At 45.2% G+C, this 25,126-nt stretch overlaps 1 protein-coding gene across 27 annotated transcripts in view, besides 1 other annotated feature; it reads left to right on the top strand.

Moving 5' to 3' along the window:
• Window positions 1-25,126, top strand: part of SLC2A9 (solute carrier family 2 member 9) — a 269,246-nt gene that overhangs the window by 73,350 nt on the left and 170,770 nt on the right. For all 27 annotated transcript variants that reach the window (XM_011513867.4, XM_011513858.2, XM_047415973.1 and 24 more), the window contains one exon: window positions 24,876-25,008. In XM_011513867.4, the coding sequence (XP_011512169.1) occupies window positions 24,876-25,008 (133 nt within the window). The remainder of the gene's footprint in view (window positions 1-24,875; window positions 25,009-25,126) is intronic.
• Window positions 21,389-22,588: an enhancer, noted in NCBI's record as "CDK7 strongly-dependent group 2 enhancer chr4:9945957-9947156 (GRCh37/hg19 assembly coordinates)". NCBI's record gives its function as "activates an origin of replication core promoter dependent on BRD2, BRD4, P300/CBP, MED14 and CDK7 cofactors, with strong dependence on CDK7, by STARR-seq in HCT116 cells {active_cell/tissue: HCT116}" and the evidence as "EXISTENCE:reporter gene assay evidence [ECO:0000049][PMID:35650434]".

Raw genomic sequence — 25,126 nt, 5'->3', positions numbered from 1 at the left:
TAAGGGATGGCCAGAAGCAGAAAATTCATTTCTATGTATGATTTTAATGTGTGCAAAAGGAAACCTCAAAAATCAACAGAGGAAATGTTTGGTTTAATGAATAGCTTAGGAAAAAATGGGAAAAGGGTAGGAAAAAAGACTAAAGCAATGCTTACATTACACCATGTTTTAATAATTGTACTAGTTTCTATTTATGAGTTATAATTTGTTTCATTTTTCTTTTATTTCCTGGACATTTGGATTGTTTCCAGTGTTTGTTTGTTTATTTAGCGACACAGTCTTACTCCATCGCCAAGGCTGGAGTGCAGGGCTCGACCTTGGCTCTCAACCCCCGCCTCCCAGGTTCTAGCAATTCTCCTGCCTCAGCCGCTCGAGTAGCTGGGACTACAGGCATCCACCACCACACCTGGCTAATTTTTGTATTTTTGGTAGAGATGGAGTTTCACCATGTTGGCCAGGCTGGTCTCGAACTCCTGACCTCAGGTGATCCACCCACCTTGGCCCATCAGAGTGCTGGGATTACAGATGTGAGCCACTTCACCCAGCCTCCAGTGTGTTTATTACTGAAAAAGTGTGATTTGTAAACTTCAGATGAATAATCTTCTACATTAATCATTATTCAAATCTGTAATTATTCATGTAGTTTAGTGTTTCAGAAATAGAAATAACAGGTTAAAGAGTGTAAATTTTTTTAAGGCTTTCGTACATATGAGCAATTTTTTTTCGGATAGTCTGCTTCAATTTCCATTCCCGCTGGCAGGGCACAAGGGCATTAGTCTCACTCTGCCCATGTCATCCACAAGCATTTAAATGAGGCTTTGGTATTTGATAGGCAAAAATAATAGATGAGAATTTCTTATAAGTATATTTGTTTCCTGTTGATGCTGTAACAAGTAACCACAGCAGAGACAGAAATGTAATTTCTCACATTTCGTTAGTTGATAATCAAAGTATTAAAAGACCTCACTAGTAAAACCATCTCACCCTGTAGTCTTTTGGGGAAAAAAATGCTTTGAATATCTTTTAACTACTTTCGTAAAAATCTATTTTTATTTTCTTTTGAGTTGATGTCATTAATTTCTGTCTTTTCAATAAAGTCACTTATGTCATCGAAACTTTCAAATTTGTTAGCATACAACTATATAAATTTACACCATTTAAAAAATAACTGAAATGATTTTAAGAATCAAATGTAAAAACAGATACCATAAACAACACACAAATGAATACAGATTAATTATTTAGAACAATGTTTTCAATTGGGATTTTGGGATTTTGTAGATGGGATTTTGTTATCCTCATTCATTACCAGTTTTGTTTTATTACATAAAGAAAGGTCATCCATAAGTTTCTTCTTTGGGGAACATATGATAGTTTATTCTGTGGTCAGTTTGTGATCATCTTTTGTTAATATTCCATGTTTGCTTAAGGATGGCAGCTCTTTCTTAGCACTTACCATTTTATAATGGTAAAAAACAGATCCAAAATTACAAGTGATTTTTATTATATCACAATAATTATGGTTAATCCGTAAAATACAGAAAAATTTCCCATGAGATTAAAAAAGGGTGATAATGTGTGATTCTATCAGAGAGAAATGAGCTTCAAAGGGAAAGGCCCAAAACAGCCTCTGCAGGGCTGTGTAGTGGGCACCTGGGCCCTCGTGCCCGACTGCCTGGATCTGCATCACAGCTCCCCACACCTCTCACACACACACTTGCTGTGGGACTTTGGGCAAGTTGCTAACCTCTCCAAGCCTAATTTGTTACCTATACAATAGCATTAATAATGGGACCTCTTTCGTGGGGATTTTGTAAGGCTTAAGAAAGAGAATACATGTTCAGCACTTGGAACAGTGCCTGGAACTGGTGCCAAATTGATGTCAGTCATCGCGTCATTTATGTCATGTGGCAGTACTTAGAAAAGATGTTATGAAATTTCTATTTTACAGATGAAAAGCTCAGTCTCAGAGCGGGGTGATAATTACTCCGAATGTCTGCAGCAGGGAGGCAGTGGGACTTGAGCTTCCTGGTTTTGCAGCCCATAATTTCTCTGTGGTAGGACCAACGTCCTGACTTGTTGATGGAGAGGCAAGAGGGCTGTCCCCAAAGGTTAGAGTCTGGTATAGGAATTTGAGCAAAACAGTCCTTTGCAGCCTCATATTTTTCTCATCCAGACCCTAAGTGTTTGAAAGCACTTGTTTTCTGTGAACTTTTTGACTTAGAACTCTCTGGACTTCATTCAAGTCCAGGAAGAGAAGAACTTTTGATTTTTATCAAGAATATTAGAAGAAATGTACTCATCTATTTTAAAGTGATTTTAAGCCCCAGCCACCCAGCAACATCGTCCTTATCCTCCACTGACCTGTAAATCCTACCGTTTCTCTTTGAAAAGAAGATTCATTTCGGGGCACGACCCAGGCATTTTCTGTAGCCAGAGAAAATGTTCAGATGGGTTGAAGGCCATTGCATGATGAATTTCCTTTGAAGGGAAATAGGAGAAAAGAAGTTTAGAGGTTGTCACCTTTGCATTCTTCCTGCCACTTCAGAGTCCCTCACAGGTTAATGCCTGAACTCCTTTAAATAACAACCAGAGTTCTCAAAACGTGTTCCCAGGACCAGCAGAACTGGCACCAGCTGGGAAGGCACTTGTTAGAAATGCAAATTCTCATCCCTGCCCTGGCCAATCCCTGTTGAACCAAGATTCTGAAACCTACACGACATGTATAATTTCAGACTCTTTTGTATACCCGGGTGCATACAAAATTGGCTTTAATAAACATTCAGCAACTCTTTTGTAAGAATTCTCGAATGTCTCCCCCTCGATATTCAGTGTTGACTCCCTGATTTCCCTCTGCAGGGTTTAGACCTCCCAGGATGGTGACGTGCCAGGTCCGTATGACCTGGCTCCAGGCTCTTTATCTCCACCCATCCACCCCTCCACCTCACAGAGCAGCTAAGCCCAATAGACAGCACATTGGAATTAACAAGCGTGTTGGGTGTTTGTTAAATGAGACTTCTCAGCCCCATTCCAGACCTCAAGATCTGAATCTTGAAGCAGGTGGTTCCCCAAGAATCTTCATTGTTTATCAGACTCGCTGGATGTGATTCTTGCACACACAAAAGGTAGAGGATCCCACTGTGACTCCACATCCCATTCCAGGATCCCACAATGCGGGTCCCACCTCCCAGCCTCTGCCTTTGCTGTTTCTTCCTCCCAACCTCCTTTTTCTACATTCCCTGACTGTTGTCATCCTGCAAAACCCAGCGAGCAGGGGCCTCTTGAGAGGCCCTCTCTCCTGCCAGCCACTAGAATCAGCTGTCCCCATCTCTGCCTCCCACAAACAGTACTCCTCTCTCACAGACTTGCTTTGTTCTACATAGTGGTCAGGTGGTCATCCGCGTGTCCACCTTTCCCTGGGACCAAAGTCCAAGTTCTCATCTTTGTATCAACGTAGAGCTGACCGTGGGGTCTGTAGCATTGAGCTACCCCCTCAATGTGGAGGGAAGGTACACATTTCCCTTGACCTTGGAATTATGAAGAAGACCCTGATTAGTGAATTTTTTAATGGTCCTGAAATGGCTTGGCTTTATCCCTACCCAAATCTCACCTTGCATTGTAATAATCCCCACGTGTCAAGGGCAGGGCCAGTTGGAGATAATTGGATCATGGTGGTGCTTTCCCCTATACTGTTCTCATGGTAGTGAATAAGCCTCATGAGATCTGATGGTTTTAGAAATGGGAGCTCCCCTGTACATGCTCTCTCTTGCCTGCCACCATTGCAACATGTGACTTTGCTCCTTCTTTGCCTTTGGCCATGATTGTGAGATCTTCCCAGCCATGTTAAACTGTGGAAGTCTGTTAGACCTCTTTCCTAATGGCCCTAATGCAGCGAGAGAGGGCCACGGAAAGCTTTCTGGAGAAGGTGGCATCCACCTTGGGGTCTGGAGGACAATTAGCCAAATGAAGGGAAGGAAAACACCATTCCAGGCACAGGGAATAGCCAGTGCAAAAACAAAAAAAGAACAAGAGGGAGCTCTGCACATTTAGAAACTGAGAGTGATTTAATAAGAGTGCCAGAGGTGACAACAAGTGATGAGGTGGATGGTCAGCTGGGGCCACACTCATCCACTCCCTGCCTCTGCACACATCTGCAGTTTCAGTCACACCTGCCCAAACATCTTCCTTTTTTAAGTTTTATTTTAAGTTCTGGGGTATATGCGCAGGGTGTGCAGGTTTGTTACACGGGTAAACATGTGTCATGGTGGTTTGCTGCACCTATTGACCCATTGCATAAGTAGTAAGCCCAGCATGCATTAGGTTGTTTACTGTCCCTCCCCCTGCCCAGGTCCCCCGATAGGCCCCAGTGTGTGTTGTTCCCCTCACTGTGTCCGTGTGTTCTCATTCTTCAGCTCCCACTTATAAGTGAGAACATGCAGTGTTTGGTTTTCTGTTTCTGTGTTAGTTTGCTGAGGATAATGGCTTCCAGCTCCATCCATGTCCCTGCAAAGGATATGATTTTGTTCTTTTTTATGGCTGCATAGTATTCCATAGTATATATGTACCACATTTTCTTTATCCAGTTTATCACTGACAGGCATTTCGGTTAATTCCATGTCTTTGCTATTGTGAATAGTGTTGTAATGAACTTACACATGCATGCATCTTTATAATAGAATGATTTATATTCATTTGGGTATATACCCAGTAATGGGATTGCTGGGTCAAATGGTATTTCTGGTTCTAGGTCTTTGAGGAATTGCCACACTGTCTTCCACAATGGTTCAACTAATTTACACTCCCACTAACAGTGTAAAAGCATTCGTATCTCTCCACAGCCCCATCAGCATCTGTTGTTTCTTGACTTTTTAATAATCTCCATTCTGACTGGCATGAGATTGGTATCTCACTGTGGTTTTGATTTGCATTTCTCTAATGATCAGTGATGTTGAGCTTTTTTTCATATGTTTCTTGACCACATGAATGTCTTCTTTCGAGAAGTGTCTGTTCATGTCCTTTGCCCACTTTTTAATGATGTTGTTTGTTTGTTTGATTTTTATAAATTTGTTTAAGTTCCTTCTAGACTCTGGATATTAGACCTCTGTCAGATGGATAGATTGTAAAAATTTTCTTCCATTCTGTAGGCTGTCTGTTTTCTCTGATGATAGTTTTTTGTTTGGTTTTGTTTCTGCGCAGAAGCTCTTTAGTTTAGTTAGATTCCATTTGTCAATTTTTGCTTTTGATGTTTTTGTCATGAAATCTTTGCCCATGCCTATGTCCTGAATGGTATTCCCTAGATTTTCTTCTAGGGTTTTTATAGTTTTGGGTTTTACATTTAGGTTTGGGTTTTACATTTAATCCATCTTGAGTTAATTTTTGTATAAGGTGTAAGGAAGGGGTCCAGTTTCCATTTTCTGTCTATGGCTAACCAGTTCTCCCAGCACAATTTATTAAATACAGAATCCTTTCCCCATTGCTTTTGTCAGGTTTGTTGAAGATCAGATGGTTGTAGGTGTTCAGTCTTATTTCTGAGTTCTCTATTCTGTTCATTGGTCTATATGTCTGTTTTTGTATCAGTACCATGCTGTTTTGGTTACTGTAGCCTTGTAGTATAGTTTGAAGCCAGCCTCCAGCTTTGTTATTTTTGCTTAGGATTGTCTTGGCTATATGCTGCCCAAACATCTTTCTAGCACTGTGCTTTGGCTGGGTCACTCCAAGCCTCTCTGTGGGAAGGGGCATAGCATGACGGAAATTGCTCTGACTTGGGAGTTAGGAAGTTAAAGGTTTGAATTCTACCTCTGCTGCTTTCTAGCTGTATGACTTGAACAAGTTACTTCACTTCTCTGAGGCTTAGTTTCTGATTCTGTAAAATGAGGACAATAATATTAATACATACTCCATGGAGTTAATGCAATGATTAAAAGAGACACTATATGTAAAGGACTTTGTACCGTTTCTGCAAATGGGAGCCATCCAGTCAAACAACAGATCCTGTGTCCACCAAATGAAGCCCTAATCCCTCAGTCTAGCCTTGAAGGCTCCCGAATTTGGGTTCAGTCTCCAATTTTAACCCATTCTATCCTCTAGTGCCATTCAACTGCCCCCATTTCCCTTCTGCTGACTATCATCCCATAATCCTCATGCCACTCCCTGGGCCTGGAATCACCTCTCTCATCACCCCTCTCAATCCATGTCACTCAGCCTTCAAGAAAAGCCTAATTCAAACAACAACAACAAAAAAGAAATAGCATTTTCACAGCCCTTCTGAAAATGGAAATGAGAAGAGATGCTGAATGCCACGTGAGCTTTGGCTCCTGACAAAAGCTTTCTCTTCCTCTGTTGAATTTTCACATGCTGTGGGTGCCTTTGATCAGATAGGGGTACATGGGGAGGAGCTGTGTCTTCTTGCTTCCCTCTGACTTCACCTTCACTGTAAACCCTTAAGGGGCTGGGCCACTCCTGTTCATATTCCCCTTTCTTCCCTGGCACTGCCCAGCATAGAGTAGGCATCATTAATATTGTCCACCAACTTAGGTATTTGATGGGGAGAGTTAGGCAGCATTTTGTATTAACTTACTTGTATAGAGGGTGATACCTGGGGCTGGTGAAGGGGAACTTATTTTCCAGGCAGAAAGGCCTATTTTGCATCTTTAGTGCCAGTCTGTGCAGTTTTAGCGGAGCCTGAGTGACTTGGGTAGGCTCAAGGCCCTGGAGAGATGTAAATTCAAATGCTGCACTTCAATAACTGGATGAGACAGATGTTGCTTCTGGCAGATTTCAAATTCTAATATTTGGAACAATAAGGCTCCTCTCCTGTATAACTTCTTGACTTGCGGCTTTTCCAAGTAATGCCCACTGATAATGATTCCTTTCCATGCTTTAAACACTGGGGGAGAATATAACCCAGTTAGCCCTGGTTCCTGCCCAGAAGGGCGTGGTGTTGAAGTGGGACAATGCTTGGAAATAAATTATCTCCCTGCCTACCACCAAATTCATCTAGCAGTCAAGTCGGACCCTGAATGTGACTCAGCCCCTCCCCGAAAGCCAGAACATCCACGTTTCTTAGGCCCAGGATACAGTCTGGTTGTGCAGCTCAGTCACAGCAAATGGAGCCTGAGAGTGTAGACCAGGGATTCACTACCAAAAACAAATCTCAAAGGGGCACTTGAAACTCCACAAAGGGAACCCCAAAGGAAAAGTATTCATATTTCAACTAATCTTTGTCTTAAATTTTAAATTATTTTAGTCAAAACAATGCAAGCAAATGATTGAAAAAATTCAATACTGCTAAAAGGCTTATAGTGACACACAGAGGTCCATCGTCCCACCCCCTCAAGCTCCCTGTCTGCTCTCCAGAGGCAATCTCTTACAACTCTTTTACCTGTTATTTGATAATTCCACCATATTTTAAAATAATTGATGATAGAACTTTTAAATTCATTTTCTTTAGATATTATCCATTGATGTCTAAGATTGAGACATCAATCTGATGATTGAGGCCTCAGTATTCTTTTTTTTTTTTTTTGAGACAGAGTTTCGTGTATCTCCGAGGCTAGAGTGCAGTGCAGTGGCACAATCTCAGCTCACTGCAACCTCTGCCTCCCAGGTTCAGGTGATTCTCCTGCCTTAGCCATCAGAGTAGCTGGGATTACATGCCCCCGCCACCACGCCTGGCTAATTTTTGTATTTTTTTTTTTTTTTTTAGTAGAGATTGGCCTAAATCTCACTAAAGAGATTGGCCAAGCTGATCTCGAACCACATTGGCCAGGCTGATCTCCAACTCCTAACCTCAAGTGATCCACCTGCCTTAGCATTCTTCCAGCACCATCCCTCCCTTCCCCTTCTCTAACCTACCAATACACATATAGTACAATTTTTTATTAGTTCACTGGTTAACATTTATATTGGTATGACTATTTACCGATTACTTTCCTTTCTCGTACAACCTTTTGTTTTTCCTGGAGTTATTAATTCCATCATTGTTTTTATTTTCTTATTTGCTTAGTTTTCTAACTACCTACAATTAATTTTTTTCAAATTCTCCAACATTAAACACCTGGTAATAAATTTACAAAATTCTTAAGTATATCACAGATGTTCTACCACTTTATTTTTGTACCTCAGCCCTCTAGCCTGTTGCTTTCGTCTAAATGGGTCTTTTCTGGACAGGTCCTGGTGCAGAACAGTCCTGGGATTCTTGCCTCTCTCCTGGGTAGAAACCACTGGTTCCTGGATCCTATGTCCTCCTCTTCTTGTTTTTTGTTTTGTTTTTAAATTATTATTGTACTTTAAGTTCTGCGATACATGTGCAGAACATGCAGGTTTGTTACATAGGTATACATGTGCCATAGTGGTTTGTTGCACCTATCAACCCGTGATCTACATTAGGTATTTCTCCTAATGTTATTTCTCCCTTAGGCCTCACCTCCAACAGGCCCCATTGTGTGATGTTCCCCTCCCTGTGTCCATGTGTTCTCATTGTTCAACTCCCACTTATGAGTTGAGGACATGCGGTGTTTGGTTTTCTGTTCCTTTGTTAGTTTGCTGAGGATGATAGTTTCCAGATTCATCCATGTCCCTGCAAAGTACATGAACTCATCCTTTTTTTCTTGGTTTATTTTCTTGTTTTGCTAAATCATTTCCTGCAGTACTTTCTTAAGAAGAAAACATGCAATGAAGACAAAGCTTTTGAGACTTTCCATGTCTAAAAATGTCTTTATTCTATACTTATACCCAGTAGATAGTTAGGCTAGATATAGAACTCTTGTATGAATATAATTTTCCTCAGAATTTTGAAGGCATTGCTTCAGTGTCCTGTAGCATCTGACATTGCTGATGAGAAATCTGATGCCTTTCTTATTTTTGATCACTTATATGTGAACTGTTGTTTCTGTGTTAACTTTTAGAATCTTCTTATTTATCCCTAGTTTTGAAATTGTATGATTACTTCCATAGGTGAGAATCTTTCTCTTCAGTTGTGCAGAATTCTCAATACTCATTTCCTTTCATTCTAGATCATTATGTTACTTCTTTGATAATTTTCTCCTAACCTCCCATTTTTCTATTCTTGCTCCTTTCTCTGAAACTCCTTGCAGTCAGATAATAGGCTGCTCTTCTAAGTTTGATTTTAGTATTTTCTGTCCTTTCCTTCATCTCTTTATCATTTTGTTCTTTATGGAACATTTTCTCAAATCCATCTTCCAACTTGTCCACTGTATTTTTATTATTTTATCATATTTTTAATTTCTAAGGGCTTTCCCCCTGTCCCCGTTCATTTTACATGGAGTCCTGTTCTTGTTTTTTAGATATAATATTTACAACTATATTTTAGAGGGTATTACTGATAGGGTGTATTGCCCCCTGCATTTGTTCTGCTGCTACATTTTTGTCTCTTTGCTCCAGATTGCTTTATCTTTCTGTTGGTTTCTTTTTGCCTTTCTCCTTTGTGTTAGACACTTTTTCAAAAGTGTGGTTCTCCCATTCATATTTAAAAAGAAGGTGAGCAAAAGCTGTGGGTGAGGGACAAGGCTTCACTCAAGAGTGATGACAGCGTGAGCAGGATTTGTATTGGGAGGCCCCACAAGTCAGTGTGTGAATGCCTTTTCTCTTTGGAGGTTTGGATTCTCCTCCAAAGAATGGGAGATGCCTATTCTGGGAAAAGATTCACTGCTGATTACTGAGGGCTCTGAGATTTATTTTCATGTTTTTGGCCTCCTGTTTTGCTGCTGTATCTGGTATGTCCAAGCCTGGAATGACTGTGGTTCCATTGATTGTGAGAATGAACCCCATCTTCTGGTTCCCATCAAGAAGTGAATAAAGGGCATGAGGCTAAAGGCCTGCCACCAAAACTCTGTTTTCATTCCCACCCTCACCCTGTCTTTGCTGGGTCCTCCATGCTGAGCCACCAGGGGTCTTTGGGGCAAATGTCTTCACTTCCCTTCAGTGCCCCCACAGAGGCTCCGAGTGCCACTTCCTCCACTTTGCTATTCCATCTTCTAAAACTGGGCTAAAAACCTCTTGCTCACCATTGCCATTTCTTGCATTCCCATGTCCTTGTGGTTAATACCTTTGAAATGTCTGTACTGCCACGTTTAAGGAATGGATAAGATAAATCGGCATGGACAATCTGCCTTGTTTATCAAGAAGTTTTAAAAAAATTTTTCGGTACCCAATACACAAAAGGCACCCAGGAAACTTCAAATGAATAAATTTTAGAACGATCACAATTTGAAATGCTAGCCCTAGAAAACCCTTTAAGGAAAGCCTGAGACATTCATATTATAAATGGGAGACTGAGACTCAAATAGCACCCAGCCTCTATGTGAACGCCGCTGGTAACAAAGCTCTCAATTCCTCCAGAGAAGAGGCTCATAGGTGGAGGTGGCTGTGTATCAGAATGGCCGAAGATACTTTTTTTTGTTTTTTTGTTTTTTTGTTTTTTGAGATGGAGTCTTGCTCTGTTGTCCAGGCTGGAGTGTAGTGGCACGATCTTGGCTCACTGCAAGCTCTACCTCCCAGATTCACGCCATTCTCCTGCCTCAGCCTCCCGAGTAGCTGGGGCTACAGGCTACCATGCCCGGCTAATTTTTTTTTGTATTTTTAGTAGACATGGGGTTTCACCATGTTAGCCAGGATGGTCTCGATCTCCTGACTTTGTGATCCACCTGCCTTGGCCTCCCAAAGTGCTGGGATTACAGGCGTGAGCCACTGCACCCGGCCGATGATACTTTTTAAAAATCCAGATGCTCACTGGGTGGATCACGCCTGTAATTCCAGCATTTTGGGAGGCCGAGGCAGGTCGATCACCTGAGGTCAGGAGTTTGAGACAAGCTTGGCCAACATGGTGAAACCCCATCTGTACTAAAAATACGAAAAATTAGCCGGGCATGGTGGTGGGTGCCTGTAATCCCAGCTACTCGGGAGGCTGGAGCAGGAGAATCGCTTGAACATGGGAGGCAGAGGTTGCAGTGAGCCAAGTTTGCACCACTACACTCCAGCCTGGGCAACAAGAGTGAAACTCCATCTCAAAAAAAAAAAAAAAAAAAAAAAAAAATCCAGATGCTTGAGCCCTACCTCAGACTTTCTGAATAAGAATCCCTAGAGAATGTCCAGTGGGGCTCAAAAGGTTAATACTGACCCAAATCTGGAATCTTTGAGAGACAGAGGTGTCCGCGGCAGCAAATCCATACAGGTCTGCAGCAACCTCAATTCTTGCCTCCTCAGAAGAAAAAATTTGACGAGGGGCATAAGGCAGAGGGAGAGACTGAGGCAAGAGTTAGAGCAGGAGTGAAAGCTTATTAAAAAGCGTTACAGCAGGAATGAAAGGAAGTAAAGTACACTTGGAGAGCACCAAGGGAGCGACTTGAGAGATCAAGTGCACGGTTTGAACTTTGACTTGGAGTTTTTTTTTTTTTTTTTTTTTTTTTGAGACGGAGTCTCGCTCTGTGGCCCAGGCGGGAGTGCAGTGGCGCAATCTCGGCTCACTGCAAGCTCCGCCTCCCGGGTTCACGCCATTCTCCTGCCTCAGCCTCCCCAGTAGCTGGGACTACAGGCGCCCGCCATCACGCCCGGCTAATTTTTTTTTGTATTTTTAGTAGAGACGGGGTTTCACCGTGTTAGCCAGGATGGTCTCGATCTCCTGACCTCGTGATCCACCCGCCTCGGCCTCCCAAAGTGCTGGGATTACAAGCGTGAGCCACCGCGCCCGGCCGACTTGGAGTTTTATATGTTATGCTTCCAGGGGGTTGCGTCTCCTCTCCCTGATTCTTCCCCTTGGATTGGGCTGTTTGCATGCACAGTGGCCTGCCAGCACTTAGGAGGGGCCGCACACGCCGTGTGTTTACTGACGTTGTGCACATGCTGACTTGAGGCGTTTTTCCCTCACCAGTCAAAAGTTCCCAGAGGAAGGCCATATACCAGGTAAACTCTGCCATTTTGCCTCTTCGTGCATATGCTTGAGCCCACTCGCCCAACTCCTGAGATCTTGTCGGGAAGCTTATGATCACCAGTTTTAGGTTTTTTTCTATTGGGAGACTGACTGCCTTTCCCAATAATTGCCAGCTGTGACCAACTATTATTTTAGAGAGACAGTTTAACAACTGCCTGACCATCACCTGATGGCCACCTGACATTCCTGGTGGGGAATGCCTGACTACCCACTATAACAGAGGCAGGGGTCAGACACTACCTCTTTTACTCATCAGGGGTCATGGTAGGTCCTGGCTAGGTGAGCAGGAAGCAGGTCTTGTCTGGGCCTTGCACCCTCTACCCAAGGGAACATTTGGGTCTGTAGAGTCTGTAGACACCCACTCACCCAGGGCCGCTACCACACCCAGATCCAGAGGAAGAGGGAGAAAAAGGTCTCACCCCCTGCATGTATGGCTCCACATGCCAGCCACCAGCCAGTATAGACCAATGGCTGTCACCCAGTAACCCCATAAGTAACTCCGTCGTGAAGTTAGGGCAGAGCAGGAGGTCAGTAGTGTGTAGGCAAAGACTTCTTTATGTAGCCCAGAGGAGTGGGGAGCAAGGGTTGCCCCTTCCTGCCCAATCTAGGTCCAAACAAATATAGTTGCAGACAAGTCTTCCAGTGGGGAGCCCCATGTCTGTGGCCAGGCCCTTTGGGCTGTGTGAAATGGTAACAGTGACAGCTGTTGAGTGAGTGTTACTAAGAACTGGGCATTGGCTGGGCACATTGGCTCATGCCTGTAATCCCAGCACTTTGGGAGGCCAAGGCAAGTGGATCTCTTGAGCCCCGGAGTTTGAGACCGGCCTGGGCAACATGGCAAAACCTCATCTCTACAAAAAATTAGGGCTGGGCGCAGTGGCTCAAGCCTGTAATCCCAGCACTTTGGGAGGCTGAGGTGGGTGGATCACCTGAGGTCGGGAGTCAGAGACCAGCCTGACCAACAAGGAGAAACCCTGTCTCTACCAAAAATACAAAATCAGCCGGGCATGGTGGCTCATGCCTGTAATCCCAGCTACTCGGGAGGCTGAGGCAGGAGAATTGCTTGAGCCCAGGAGGTGGAGGTTGTAGTGAGCCAAGATGTTGCCGTTGCACTCCATCCTGGGCAACAAAAGCAAAACTCCATCTCAAACAAACAAGCAAACAAACAAACAAACAAACAAAATTTAGCTGGGCACGGTAGTGCATGCCTGCCATCTTAGCTGCTCAGGAAGCTGAGGTGGGAGAACCACCTGAGCCTGGGAAGTCAAGGCTGCAGTGAGCCATGATTGCACCCCTGTACTCCAGCCTGGGTAACAGAGTGAGACCCTGTCTCAAAAAACAACCAACAAACAAAAAACTCCTAAACTGGGCATTAGGCTGAGCACTTTGCATGTAATCTGTTGAATCCCCAGCACAACCAGTAATGCAGGTTTTATTATCTCTATTTTATTGATAAGGAAAGTGAGGCTCATAGAGGTTAAATTTAAATTTGAGGTCCAAAATGACCAAGGGAGCAGGCAGTGCAGTGAGGAGAGGACTCAAACTCAGATGGGCAAGGCACCAGTGCCCACATCTGGGCCCACCTGGCCCTCAGTGGCTCCAGCTCTTTAAGCAACAGCATGTGGCTGAGATTTGAGACAGGCAGATGATACAGTGTGGGACCTCTCGTCACTGCCCAATGATGTTACCTCAGGAGAAGCACTGGCTCTCTGGGCTTTGGTTCTCTACCTCCTACCCATGGCCAAGAGGCATAGCGGGTTCAGTGGGTATTTGGAAAACAGCACAAGCTAAGCTTGCCCCACTTTGCCCAGTTTCCAGTCAGGAATGACCAAGATGCGATCCGAACCTCCTAAAAGACTTTTAGGATCTGAAGAATTAAAGTCACAGAACTTGTGAATCAGAGAAACTTGGATATAGAACATTAAAATCACAAGTGTATGATTCTAGGACTTTTGCAAAGCATCTTACAATGCAAGAATTACAGCTTGTTAGAGTTATAGGACATTCAGATCACAGAATCTGTGAATAGAAATTGACCATAGCAGAAAATGACCCGACCGCTTCTGGAATGCAGAAATCTCTTCCAAAACAGCTCTGACATTGTTATTTCTATTATTTATCAAACATTGTATTTGGCCATTCTTGCACGGCTGTAAACACCTGACTCACGCCGGTAATCCCAGCATTCTGGGAAGCTGTGGCAGGCAGATCGCTTGAACCCAGGGGTTTGAGACCAGCCTGGGCAACATGGTGAAATCCCATCTCTACAAAAAATACAGAAATTAGCTGGCCTTGGTGGTGCATGCCTGTAGTCCTAGCTACCGGGAGGCTAAGGTGGGAGGAGCCTAGGAGGTTGGGGATGCAGTGAGCTGAGATTGCGTCACTGCACTACAGCCTGGGAGACTGAATGAGATCCTGTCTTTAAAAAAAAAAAAAAGACAGACAGATCTGAGACAGGGTAATTTATAAAGAAAAGAGGTTTAATTGGCTCATGGTTCTGCAGACTGTACATGCATGGCACTGGCACCTGCTCAGCTTCTGGGGAGGGCTCCAGGAGCAGGCACATCACCTGGCAAAAGCAGAAGTAAGGCTAGGGAAGGTGCCACAAATTTTAAACAACCAAATCTTGGGAGAACTCATTCACCATCATGAGGACAGCACTAAGCCATGAGGGATCCAACCCCATAACCCAAACACCTTCCACCAAGCCCCACCTCCAACATCGGCGATTATAATTCAACATGATATTTGGCAGGGACATATATTCGAATTATGTCAAGCACTTATAAAGCCCCTACTGCATGTGAGGTCCTCCTCTGTGGACTAAACTTTACGGATGAGCAAACTGAGGAGTAGAGGGGTGAAGTGGTTTATCTGTTATCTCACAATCAGTAAGTGGCAGGACCAGGGTTCAGGACCCAACCTCAGAGGTGGGCCAACTCCAGAGGGCACTCTCTTTCTTGGCTTCTGTGGCATTGGGAGTCTTATGAGCTGAGCCGTGGCACATGGAAGCCACAGTGCTTTAGCCTCTGCCTTCCAGGCAGTCAGCTTAACCCCACTGCTTTGATACCTACTCTAATTCTGCAACCATTCATCCAAACATTAAATGAATCTTTTGTAAATTTCCTGTCCTTTTCTGACAATTTTACTTTTCAAGCTTTTTAAAGATTCCATATCAAAAACTTTCATACCACCTTTTTCCATTGAGAATAATGAGGAACATTTATAAAATTTGATTTCTCACATCTTTATTAGCTTATTCTTCTAGAAAGAAGTACATTTCCTTTAGACAGAAAGGACAGTTCTCAAAAAGCCAAATTCCTAAAGATGATTACTGTTTTTTTAAAAATAAACTTTTCTGATTCCATATTGACATTTTGACATTTACTCCTCAAGCCTTCCTAAGTGGGATATGGCAATTATAATTCTTTATTATCTGTACAAATTTATGGGGTATGTGTGAAATTTTGTTACACATATTTGTGTGGTGATTGAGTCAGAATATTTAAGGTATCCATCACCTGAATAAAATACATTTTTGTTAACTTTAGTTATCCTACCCTGCTATCAAACATTGGATTTATTCCTTTTTATACCCTTCAGCGTGCTTCTCTTTATCTCACCCCACCACCCTTCTCTGTCTCTGTTATCTATCTTTACACTCTCCACATCCATATGATCAAATTTTTTAGCTTCCACATATAAGTGAGAGAGAACATGCAATATTTGTCTTTTTGTGCCTGGCTTATCTCACTTTAGTTAATGCCCCCCAATTCCATCCACGTTGCTGTAAATGACATGATTTCATTCTTTTTAATGGCTAAATAGTATTCCATGATGTATATATACCAAAGTTTCTTTATTCATCCATTGATGGACACTTAGGTTGATTCCATATCTTTACTATTGTGAATAGTACTGCAATAAACATGTGAGTACAGGTATCCCTTTGACGTATGAATTTCTTTTCCTTTGAGTAGTACCCAGAGGTGAGATTGCTGGATTGAATGGTAATTGTATTTTTAGTTTTTTGAGAAATCTCCATACTGTTTTCTTTTTTTTTTTTTTTTTTTTTTTTTTTGAGACGGAGTCTCGCTCTGTCGCCCAGGCTGGCGTGCAGTGGCGCGATCTCGGCTCACTGCAAGCTCCGCCTCCCGGGTTCACGCCATTCTCCTGCCTCAGCCTCCCGAGTAGCTGAGACTACAGGCGCCCGCTACCACGCCCGGCTAATTTTTTGTATTTTTAGTAGAGACAGGGTTTCACCGTGTTAGCCAGGATGGTCTCGATCTCTCCATACTGTTTTCTTTCACAGCTATACTAGTTTACGTTCCCATGAACAGTGTTTAAGTTTTCCTTTTTCTCTGCATCCTTGCCAGCATCTGTCATTTAATAATAGCCATTTTGACAGGGGTGAGATGATATCTCATTGCGGTTTTGATTTCCATTTCTCTGATGATTAGTGATATTGAGCATTTTTTCCCATAAGATTGCTTGAGAACCAAGCAAGGCAGAGGACATCCAAACCCTTTGAAAAATAGAAAATGTTTTAGGAATAGGGGAAGGAGCATTTCTTGAAAGATGACCCATGGGGGGGCTCTATGTGGGTGCTTCTCTCACATCCAATTCTCAAAACCACTTTTTGTGTGGTGAGTGTTGTAGCCTTGGAAGTTCATCTCATTATTATTTCCAACAGAGAAAAATGAGAGGTAATCACAAAAGCCCATGTTCTTGAGATACCTGTTATTGTTAGTGTTGAAATAGAATCAGAGCATGAATGCGCACCAAAAATAGCAATTCTAGAACAACATATTTGCTGCAATGAATTGAGCCATCTTACTAGCTGGCTTGTACTCTGTGGGGTCAGGTGTGGAGAGGGTGACATTGACCCTCATGCCCAACAGGTAAGGTTGGTAAGGCAAACACGACCAGCCACATGCTCCCCACCCCAGGATTCAGTAAAGCTGTGGCCAGCAGGGTCCTTCCCAGGAGGCAGTTGTTGGGAGGGACGGTAAGGTCAAAGAAGCTCCATGAACATTTGCTGGCTGTCACTATTTCCCTGTGAGGCCCCACTGCTAAACAAGCAGGAAGCATTCAAAGATGTAACAAAGCAACCCTATGGAATGTGAGTGCAGGCTTCACTATCTTGATGTTTTTGTAATAGCATGAGCTATTGGAGTTGAGCTTGAGTGATCACTGATGAGTTCTGTATAGGACCTGCCATAGAGGAGTGTGACAGGTTCAGCCTGATAGAATCTGCATATAAATTCCCTATTCAGCTAGCAGCTGCCACCATGAGGGAAGGGAAGGTGGCAAGGCAGCAGTGCTTTGCTCCAGGAACTGCAGATCTGAGGAATAATGTCAAGGAAAGAGCCCCGTACAGGGATCAGAAGAGCCAGGCTCTTGTTCTGCCAGACCCCCTAATTTCTCATGTGCCTTGGCATGAGTTACCTGACCTTTACAGGTCTACATTTTCTCTTCTATGGACTAGAAATTATAATAATACTTTGTGGGAAAATATTATTTATAATACTATAAAACATCAGCCCTCTAATAGGACAACATATAGGACAGTTTTAGCATTTTTATAAAAAGTATTTTAAGAGCAGGAGTGTCTGTCGTTTCAGGGATTTCTGTATCTAGCTGGAGCATCTCTTATCTGTGCTGTCATTCATCCTCCCCAACATGCATTCAGTAAACAGGCATTTACTAAACACCTGCCTTTTACCTGGCACTGGGCAGATAAATAAAGGAACAAGGCAATGGGTGGCCCTTCAGGAGCTCCGTCTATAGGGAAACACACCCATAAAAAGCACATTGCTATGCAGAATAACAAGTGCTTTAATGGAAATTGGTACCAGATAGAGAAGTCATCCACGGGAGGGAATGCTATAAGGTAAAGGATGAGTAGATAGATGTGCTGCAGAAAGGGGTTCTTGCTAAAATGGCCTAGGAGCGTCCTTTGCTAAAGCTGTATTTTACAGGGAAGTACACAGATGGGCCTAGGAGAAGTTTCAATGGGCTGACTAATGTTTGGCCAAGTAAATAATTTTTGTCAGATGTGTGGATGGACATGAAGATTTGGAATCATGGGCCCATAGATGTGTCTTAGGTTGAGTTCCCCAGAAAAGAGACCCTGAGATGGAGATGTGGGCAGGAAGCTGATTGGAGAATGAGCTCAGATCAGTGCCTGCAGGGGAAGAGATGGGACCAGGATTCAGCAGAGGGAAAAGGTGAGCAACCCTCAGCACAACAGAGGTCTCAGTTGAGCCCACAGGGAGCTCTGGAGCTGGGATGGCCCATCAGAGTGGGATAATTTGGAGGTGGGGGAACAGAACTTTATGCCCCCACATCAGTCAGCCATTGGATGCAGTTTGTTCTTGGGGAGGGCTGGGTAGCCTTGGTGGAGGAAACATCCTTCAAGGGCAATTCCAGAGGACAGGCCCAGCTGTGGTCCACAGCCAGTAATGCTCCCAGCAGCTATAAGTCAAGCTTGTCAGTTCTGGGCCATGCACCACCATTCACTGCAGGTGACGCAGGTGTGGGGGAAGCCCTAGGACAGTGGCCGTCAAATAGCTCTACATTAGAGTCACCTGGAGAGCTTGAACAACCCCAGCACCTAAGCCGCACCCCCAGACCAATTAACCCCAAATCTCTGAGAGTAAGGAATGAGTATCAGTAGTTTGTAAAAACTCTCCAAGTGATTCCAATGGGCAGCCAAGTTCAAGAATCACTACCCGGGGGATGTGTGTGAGATGAATGAGAGGAGGGCTTGCCTCAAAACCTTGGATAAGTATCCCGAGAAGCTGGAGGAGAACCAGGGAGAGTGTGTCATGGAAGGTAAGGGGTGGGGGGGTGGTGTTTAGAAAGAAATAAGTGGCCACCTACAGCAAGAACATACATGCCTGAGTGGGAGGGGCAACCAGCTGTTCTAAAATGTACCCAGAATTTGTATGAATCCTGTATGGCGAGGTGATGGACATGGAGGCAACCTTATCTGAAAGAAGAATTTATTACTCACAGTTCCCTAGAGGAGGGGACATACCACGCCATGCAGGACCACGCAGGGAAGCACTGGGTCAGTCAGGAGGCAGAAAGAGGGAGGGGACAGCCTGCACCAGAGCCTTTATTGTGGCCCCATGGCAGGAATGAGTGAGCAGGGGAGGCAGGCTTGAGATCATGTTGCCAGGCTCTGGGCTACAGGGCTGTTCCCTAGTTGTCTGATACCTGGCTCTGGAGTGGCCTGTGGGAGGGGAAATGTTGGCTCAGAGTGTGAGAGTTTGATAAAGGAAGTGATTGGAGTATAGACTTTGGATTGGTGGGTTTGCATACGAAAGGCCTGCTCTCAGGCAGGTTGTTTACTAGCTCTAGGAATTATTAATAGCTAGGGAGCTGCTATTAATAACTGCTCGGGAAAGGTCGGTCTCTCTGAAATCAGAAAGGTCATACAATATGAAAGCGAAATAAAATACAGAACACATAAAACATGATTAATATTAATACACTAACCTCATGGCCACCTAGGTTGGGGTCAGAGTGGGCTGGATTTAGCCTCAGCCCACCCCCTTATCAGGGAGCTGAGTGCTCGGTGCACCTTTCACAAATATGCAGAGCAGCCTTGACCCTGGATCCCTTGAGCTGCAATGGAGAGAGACAGAAAGAGATGTACACCTTGCAGCAGAGACAGAGAAAGAGCACCTGCAAACCTGCAGGCTAGGACAACTGCAAGGACGAGTGGGTGGTCCCAAGGTTGGGACACTCCAGAACCCTCGGAAAGTGCTCATGAGGAAACAATATCAGTTTTACACATCCATTGGCCCCAGAGTCCCAACGTACAGCCTCACACACTTGGTTCCTAGAGGGGTCAGACACTGGCTAGCAAGCCTGGGGAAGAGGGGTAGGAAGGAGGAGAGAAATAGAGAAGTCAACCATCTACCTCCCACCCCAGCTCTTTCCACTGCAGGCTTCTAGCCTAAAGCAGGCTTGGAGGAAGGGGTATGGGAGATGGAAGAAGTGTCAGTCAATCCATTCAATTCAGTTGATTTTGATTATTATTTTATACTGGCAATTCTGATGTCTAAATTGAAATTGTGATTCTAGGATAGGACTCTGCTCAGTTTCAGCAGAAAAGACATGAGCCCCTAGAATGGGGCAGGGAAATAAAGCCCCAGGGATTAAATTTTAGAGGAATAAGGAGACAAAGATCAAGGTTGTATTTAGATGACATTCTGGACTGTTCTTATGTAACACAAGGTTACATTTGTAACACACTTAGCAGGGAGCTGGGCACGTGGAGCCCACTTGATCAATGTAAGCCATTATTAGAATAAGAGCCTAAATATGAAGAAATATAAAGAAGAGCATTTCATTTAATCCCCCAAATAGCTGTGTAAGGTAGGGCTTGCTCTTCCCCTTTCCAATCCAGCAGCATGGAGCAATGGCCACTTCTGGAGCCCTTTTGCTGTCAGAGGCATAAGTGGCCCAGCCAGCATCAACCCCCTCACCGTGCTCCCTTGTCTGGGGGCCATGAGCATATTGGAACATCCTTTATAAGAACTTGACTTGGGGTAAGAGTAATGATTTCAACTCTACTTAAACATTTTTTGCTGATTCATCATAGTCCAGGATGATATTATTTATGGACTAAAGTAGTCTATAGCTTGGGGGAAATATGACCTGGAAGTCTATTTAAAACATGGAAACCTGCAGATTAAAGAACAAGATAATAGAACAAGATAATTGCAAAGCCCATTCGCCTGACCTGACTGGGAGTTAAAAATCACCTTGGCTGACAAGACTATCCTTTTCTTTCCTCCTGAGTGAAATAGCAGGTGCAAAGACTCTGCCTGTGTTCTCCTAGATGGACGCTCTAGGGCTTTACCAAACCCAGCAGGCTGGACCGACACCACAAAGACTCATCTTTGAGGTTGTCGTTTGGTGGCGCCTCATGGTCTTGTGTCAGGCGAGTAATATGCGGTTTTTTAAAACATGCCTTCCTTTTTGAACAGCACCTGAAAAAGACACTCAGAGGCCACTGTCTGAAAATGGCAAGCGCTGTTTGTGAAAGGGACCAGTGTGTAGGAAAGCCCTTTCCCACGCTGATTTGCTCCTTCAATAGACATGTATTGAACCACTACTGTGTGCTAGCAGGTCTCTGCCTTCAGGCCATGCCCATCTAATGTAAAACACTGAGGCCTCAGCTCTGTGTTGGGACCAAGTGCCCAGGAGCTCCATCAAGGGCCACTGAGGGTCTTAGGCCTGGGTCAGATGGTAGAAGTTCAGACCAAGCTCTCCTGGCCCTTCCCCTGAGTCTGGTGGTCTGATGGCTCCTCCCTGGTCACTAGGTATGTCTTATCAGGCCTCCTGGATTTGAATTCAGACTCTGGGATCCCAGATTTGGCGGCCAGTCATGCCTCTATGACCGAGTTGTGGCCTCAATGAGCTATTGAACCCCTCTGTGCTGCAGTTAATATTTCTGTATAGTGGAGATAATCACAGGCTCTCTGTCTGCGAGCTATTGTGAGGATGAGAAGAGATGAACTATCCAATGTGCTTAGTAATAAAAGCCACTCTTTCCTGTTGAACACCTACAGTGTGTGCAGGCCTGTGCTCAGCACTCCCGACATCCATTCATGGACTAAATCCTCCCAACAGAAATCCTCCCTAGGAATACGTGTTGTCACTGTCCCCATTTTACAGATGAGAACACTGAGGCATAGGCATTTCGATAACTTGCCCACAGCACAGTGAGTGGGGGTAGAGGCAGAATTCAAATCCAGACAGCCTGCAAGAGAGCTGTGCCCATAGCCACTCACTAGGTTGCCCTGATCCTGGCTGCAAGCCCCTGCTCAGTAAGGGTTGCTGATGGCGATTACATCTTTACCACTGTCATTGGGAGAGAAGACGTGCATGTTCATTGTCAGAAATTCTTCCATAAAGCACAGGGCATAGCAGAGCCTTTATTGTGGCCCCACGGCAGGAATGAGTGAGCAGGCTAGGCACTTACTCATTGAGATGACGTGTGCGCAGGTCATCCTAGCTATTTTTATTATTTGGGTGGGCCACATGTATAATATGGGTGGAAACACTTCATTCAACACACACCCTACCCACACACCCAGTCACACTTTTCTTGGTAGAAGGTGAGGGGAATAATCTCTCCTAACTATAACACCTCTCCCTGCAGCCAGCTAATATCTCCAGGAAATCTCTGAACACTTGCTGGAAAAAGCCAGGTTCAGACTCTTCTGCTGGCTAAGCTCAGTCCCTCTGGAGTAAACTCTTATCTGAGCTCCACTCTGGACACTCCCGACCCTCACCTTTTCCGCTGTTCACCCCAGGGATGTGTGCAGAGTGGCCACTGCCATTGTCCTTCCCCAGTTCAGAAATGTTGGCATCCCAATCCGGGGGCTGCCCACCCTGAGGTTTAAAGAATCCACCTTTTCTCCAGAGGTAGAAAGAAGACCATGGTCACCCATGCGACCCCCCTTAAGAAAGAGTCCACACGTCCTTGTATTTAAGAGACCAGGGATCAAAGGCTATGCCATAAACTTGATAACAGCCTTTCAGGAATAAGTCATGCAATGTGAAACATACCCACTGACTAAGATTCCAAAAACACTGAATTGTAGATTCAAGGAAATAGAGAGTGTCCATCTCAGCTAGTGCATAGACCCCTCAAAGGCTCCTGTTGTCCTCAAGCCAAGTCCAAGAGCCATGGAAAGGCAGCAAAGCCACCCATGACCTGACCTCTGCTCAAGGCTCCAGCCTCAGCTCCCACATCTCCGGCATCCCCTGACCTTCTGTTTCCACTACAGTTGTTGTTCCCCAATGAGCCTGGGTGGATCATGCCTCTGTGTGGTTATACATGCTGTTCCTATGCTGGGGGTGCCCTTCCACCCAGTGGCAGCTCCAAAAACACCACCCCTGGGAAGTGCTCCCACTGTGACGATACTGTGGGAAAATATTAGGCTTGATTTCCACCTGTGTGGCTCCTGGCTGGGAGGCCTCAGCACAGGAATCGCCTGCCACACCTTTAACATGCAGCAGTATTGCTGGCTGTGTGTGGGGCTGGCGGCTGTGCGGTGGAAGGAGACAGCCATGGGAAGGGCTCACATCACATCCGGCACGTGGTAGGAGCTTCATGGGGTTGGTTCCCTCGTGTTTTCTCAGATTCTGTTTTTACCCTTACTGAGACGGCAGCCAAACCCCGAGAGAAAATAAAATCAACACCACCACACACAGGCCTAGCGAAAATTCCACTTCTATGTATGTTGGGGTTTTTTCTTCCTGGTCTTTCTTTTTGATCAAACTATGACACACATATCATAAAATTCATCCTTTTAAAGTATACAGCTCAGTGGGTTTTGGTATCTTCACGGAGTCGGGCCACCATCGGCCTTCCCTAATTCCAGGGTATTTGCATCACCCTAGATGAAACCCCACACCCATGCGCAGTCACTCCCCACTCCCCTGTCCCTGGCCCTCCTGGGCCCCCGACAGCCCTAGCCTACCCCTCCCAGCCTTCTAGCGAGAGCTCCTCCTGAAACTGGAAAGCTGACATTGGCCTTGCCAGTTCCTCAAAGGGCGATGGAAGGGCTATGCTGGCTGGCGGAACCAGAGGAGTTTTGTGAATAAAAATTGTTATTAGATACAGAAAAGGGAATCAAATCTAAGGCACCCCTTAGATGGAGATGATGATTGGACCAGCTGCTGGCTGTGTGCCCCTGGCAGGCCACTTCCCCACTCACTCTGAGCCCTGGGGCCCTGCTGCTCTCCCTTCATGGGATCCTAGAACTTGCAAAAGTCTCTGTTACCATGGACCTCAGTAGGGAGCGAGTCTTGGGAGAGCAGCAGAGGGAAGCCCTGCCTCCCAGCGGGCAGCTGGGGGAGAGGTGGGGAGGCTGTCCCCAGGCCCTGCCAGTTCTGGTGCCCCAGGATCCTGAGGGTAACTTCCCATGGGCCCCACCTGAAGCCAACAGAACCTCTGCCTATCATGTGAAGTCTTTTCAGGTCTGAGTGTGTCTTATTTTGCCCTTGGCCATCTCCTTGTACCTTCTTGGGAAATAAACGTGTCAAGGATGTGGCATTGAGGACTTGGTTTTTCCTCCTTCTCATGATCAGAACTGCATTGTGAGCAGGATTCTCTTCTTTCAGTGGCACACTGAGAGCCTATTTGTAAACTTGGGTAGGAAGAAAGCAGGTTAGGACGAATACTACCTTGATGGGCATCGTAACGTGTGCTCTGGGCTTCATTTAAGCTGCACTGCAGGGGATGTCACTGCTTGGAGTGCATCACTTGCCTCTTGAATAGTGCGTGTCGTAGGGATCTGTTTGCCTTTCATAGCTGGCTGGAAAGTGAAAGGCCTCCTCTCCCTAAGGGGTAAGCTGTGCCCCACTGGCCCCCTCTTCCTCACTCCCATGGGGTCTGCAAGAGCTCCAGCTGCCCTTCTTGTGTCCTCACTGAGAAGACAGAGATGGTTGAATGTCGTGGGCGTCTAGATATCTAGCGGTGGTGCCCATGTCACCTCCACATGCAGGCTCCATTCTTGGGGCAGCCTGGGAGGCAGCCCTGGTGTTGAAGAGAAGGAGACCCTAAGATCCCCCAGGCTCACCATGGTTCCCCAGGGAGTGGGGTCAAGCAGCCCTTGAGTGGCCTTGGCCAACCAGAGCCGCCTGCTTTTCAGAGCTACCTTGCAGGTCACTATCTCACAGGGGACTCTTGAGGAGTCTCTGGACTCATGCATGGAAAATGCTATATACGTGGGACTGGTGCCCAGCCTGGCTCAGTTCCTTCCCTCAGCCTTTGTTCCTGGGGATCATGCTGGGCAGGAAGACCTTCTGCAGGGTCGAAACCACCTGGTCCAGTGGCCCAGTCCCCTCAACAATGACCAAAGGCCACTGCACTCAGCAGCATCTCCTTCTCCCACAGGAGAGTACCTGGCCATACCTGTTTGGAGTGATTGTGGTCCCTGCCGTTGTCCAGCTGCTGAGCCTTCCCTTTCTCCCGGACAGCCCACGCTACCTGCTCTTGGAGAAGCACAACGAGGCAAGAGCTGTGAAAGGTGAGGGCCCTTCCCTTTCCTGCACAGCTCCAGCCCCTGCATAGATCATCACTGCAAGGCATGCTGGGACCTGGGCCAATGGGCACAGGAAGGGGTGTTGTCATTGTTCCTTTTTGCA

The sequence above is a fragment of the Homo sapiens genome, chromosome 4 (assembly GCF_000001405.40).
Source record: "Homo sapiens chromosome 4, GRCh38.p14 Primary Assembly".
NCBI classification, from domain to species: Eukaryota; Metazoa; Chordata; class Mammalia; order Primates; family Hominidae; genus Homo; species Homo sapiens.
This window is presented reverse-complemented; position numbering and strand designations above follow the sequence as displayed.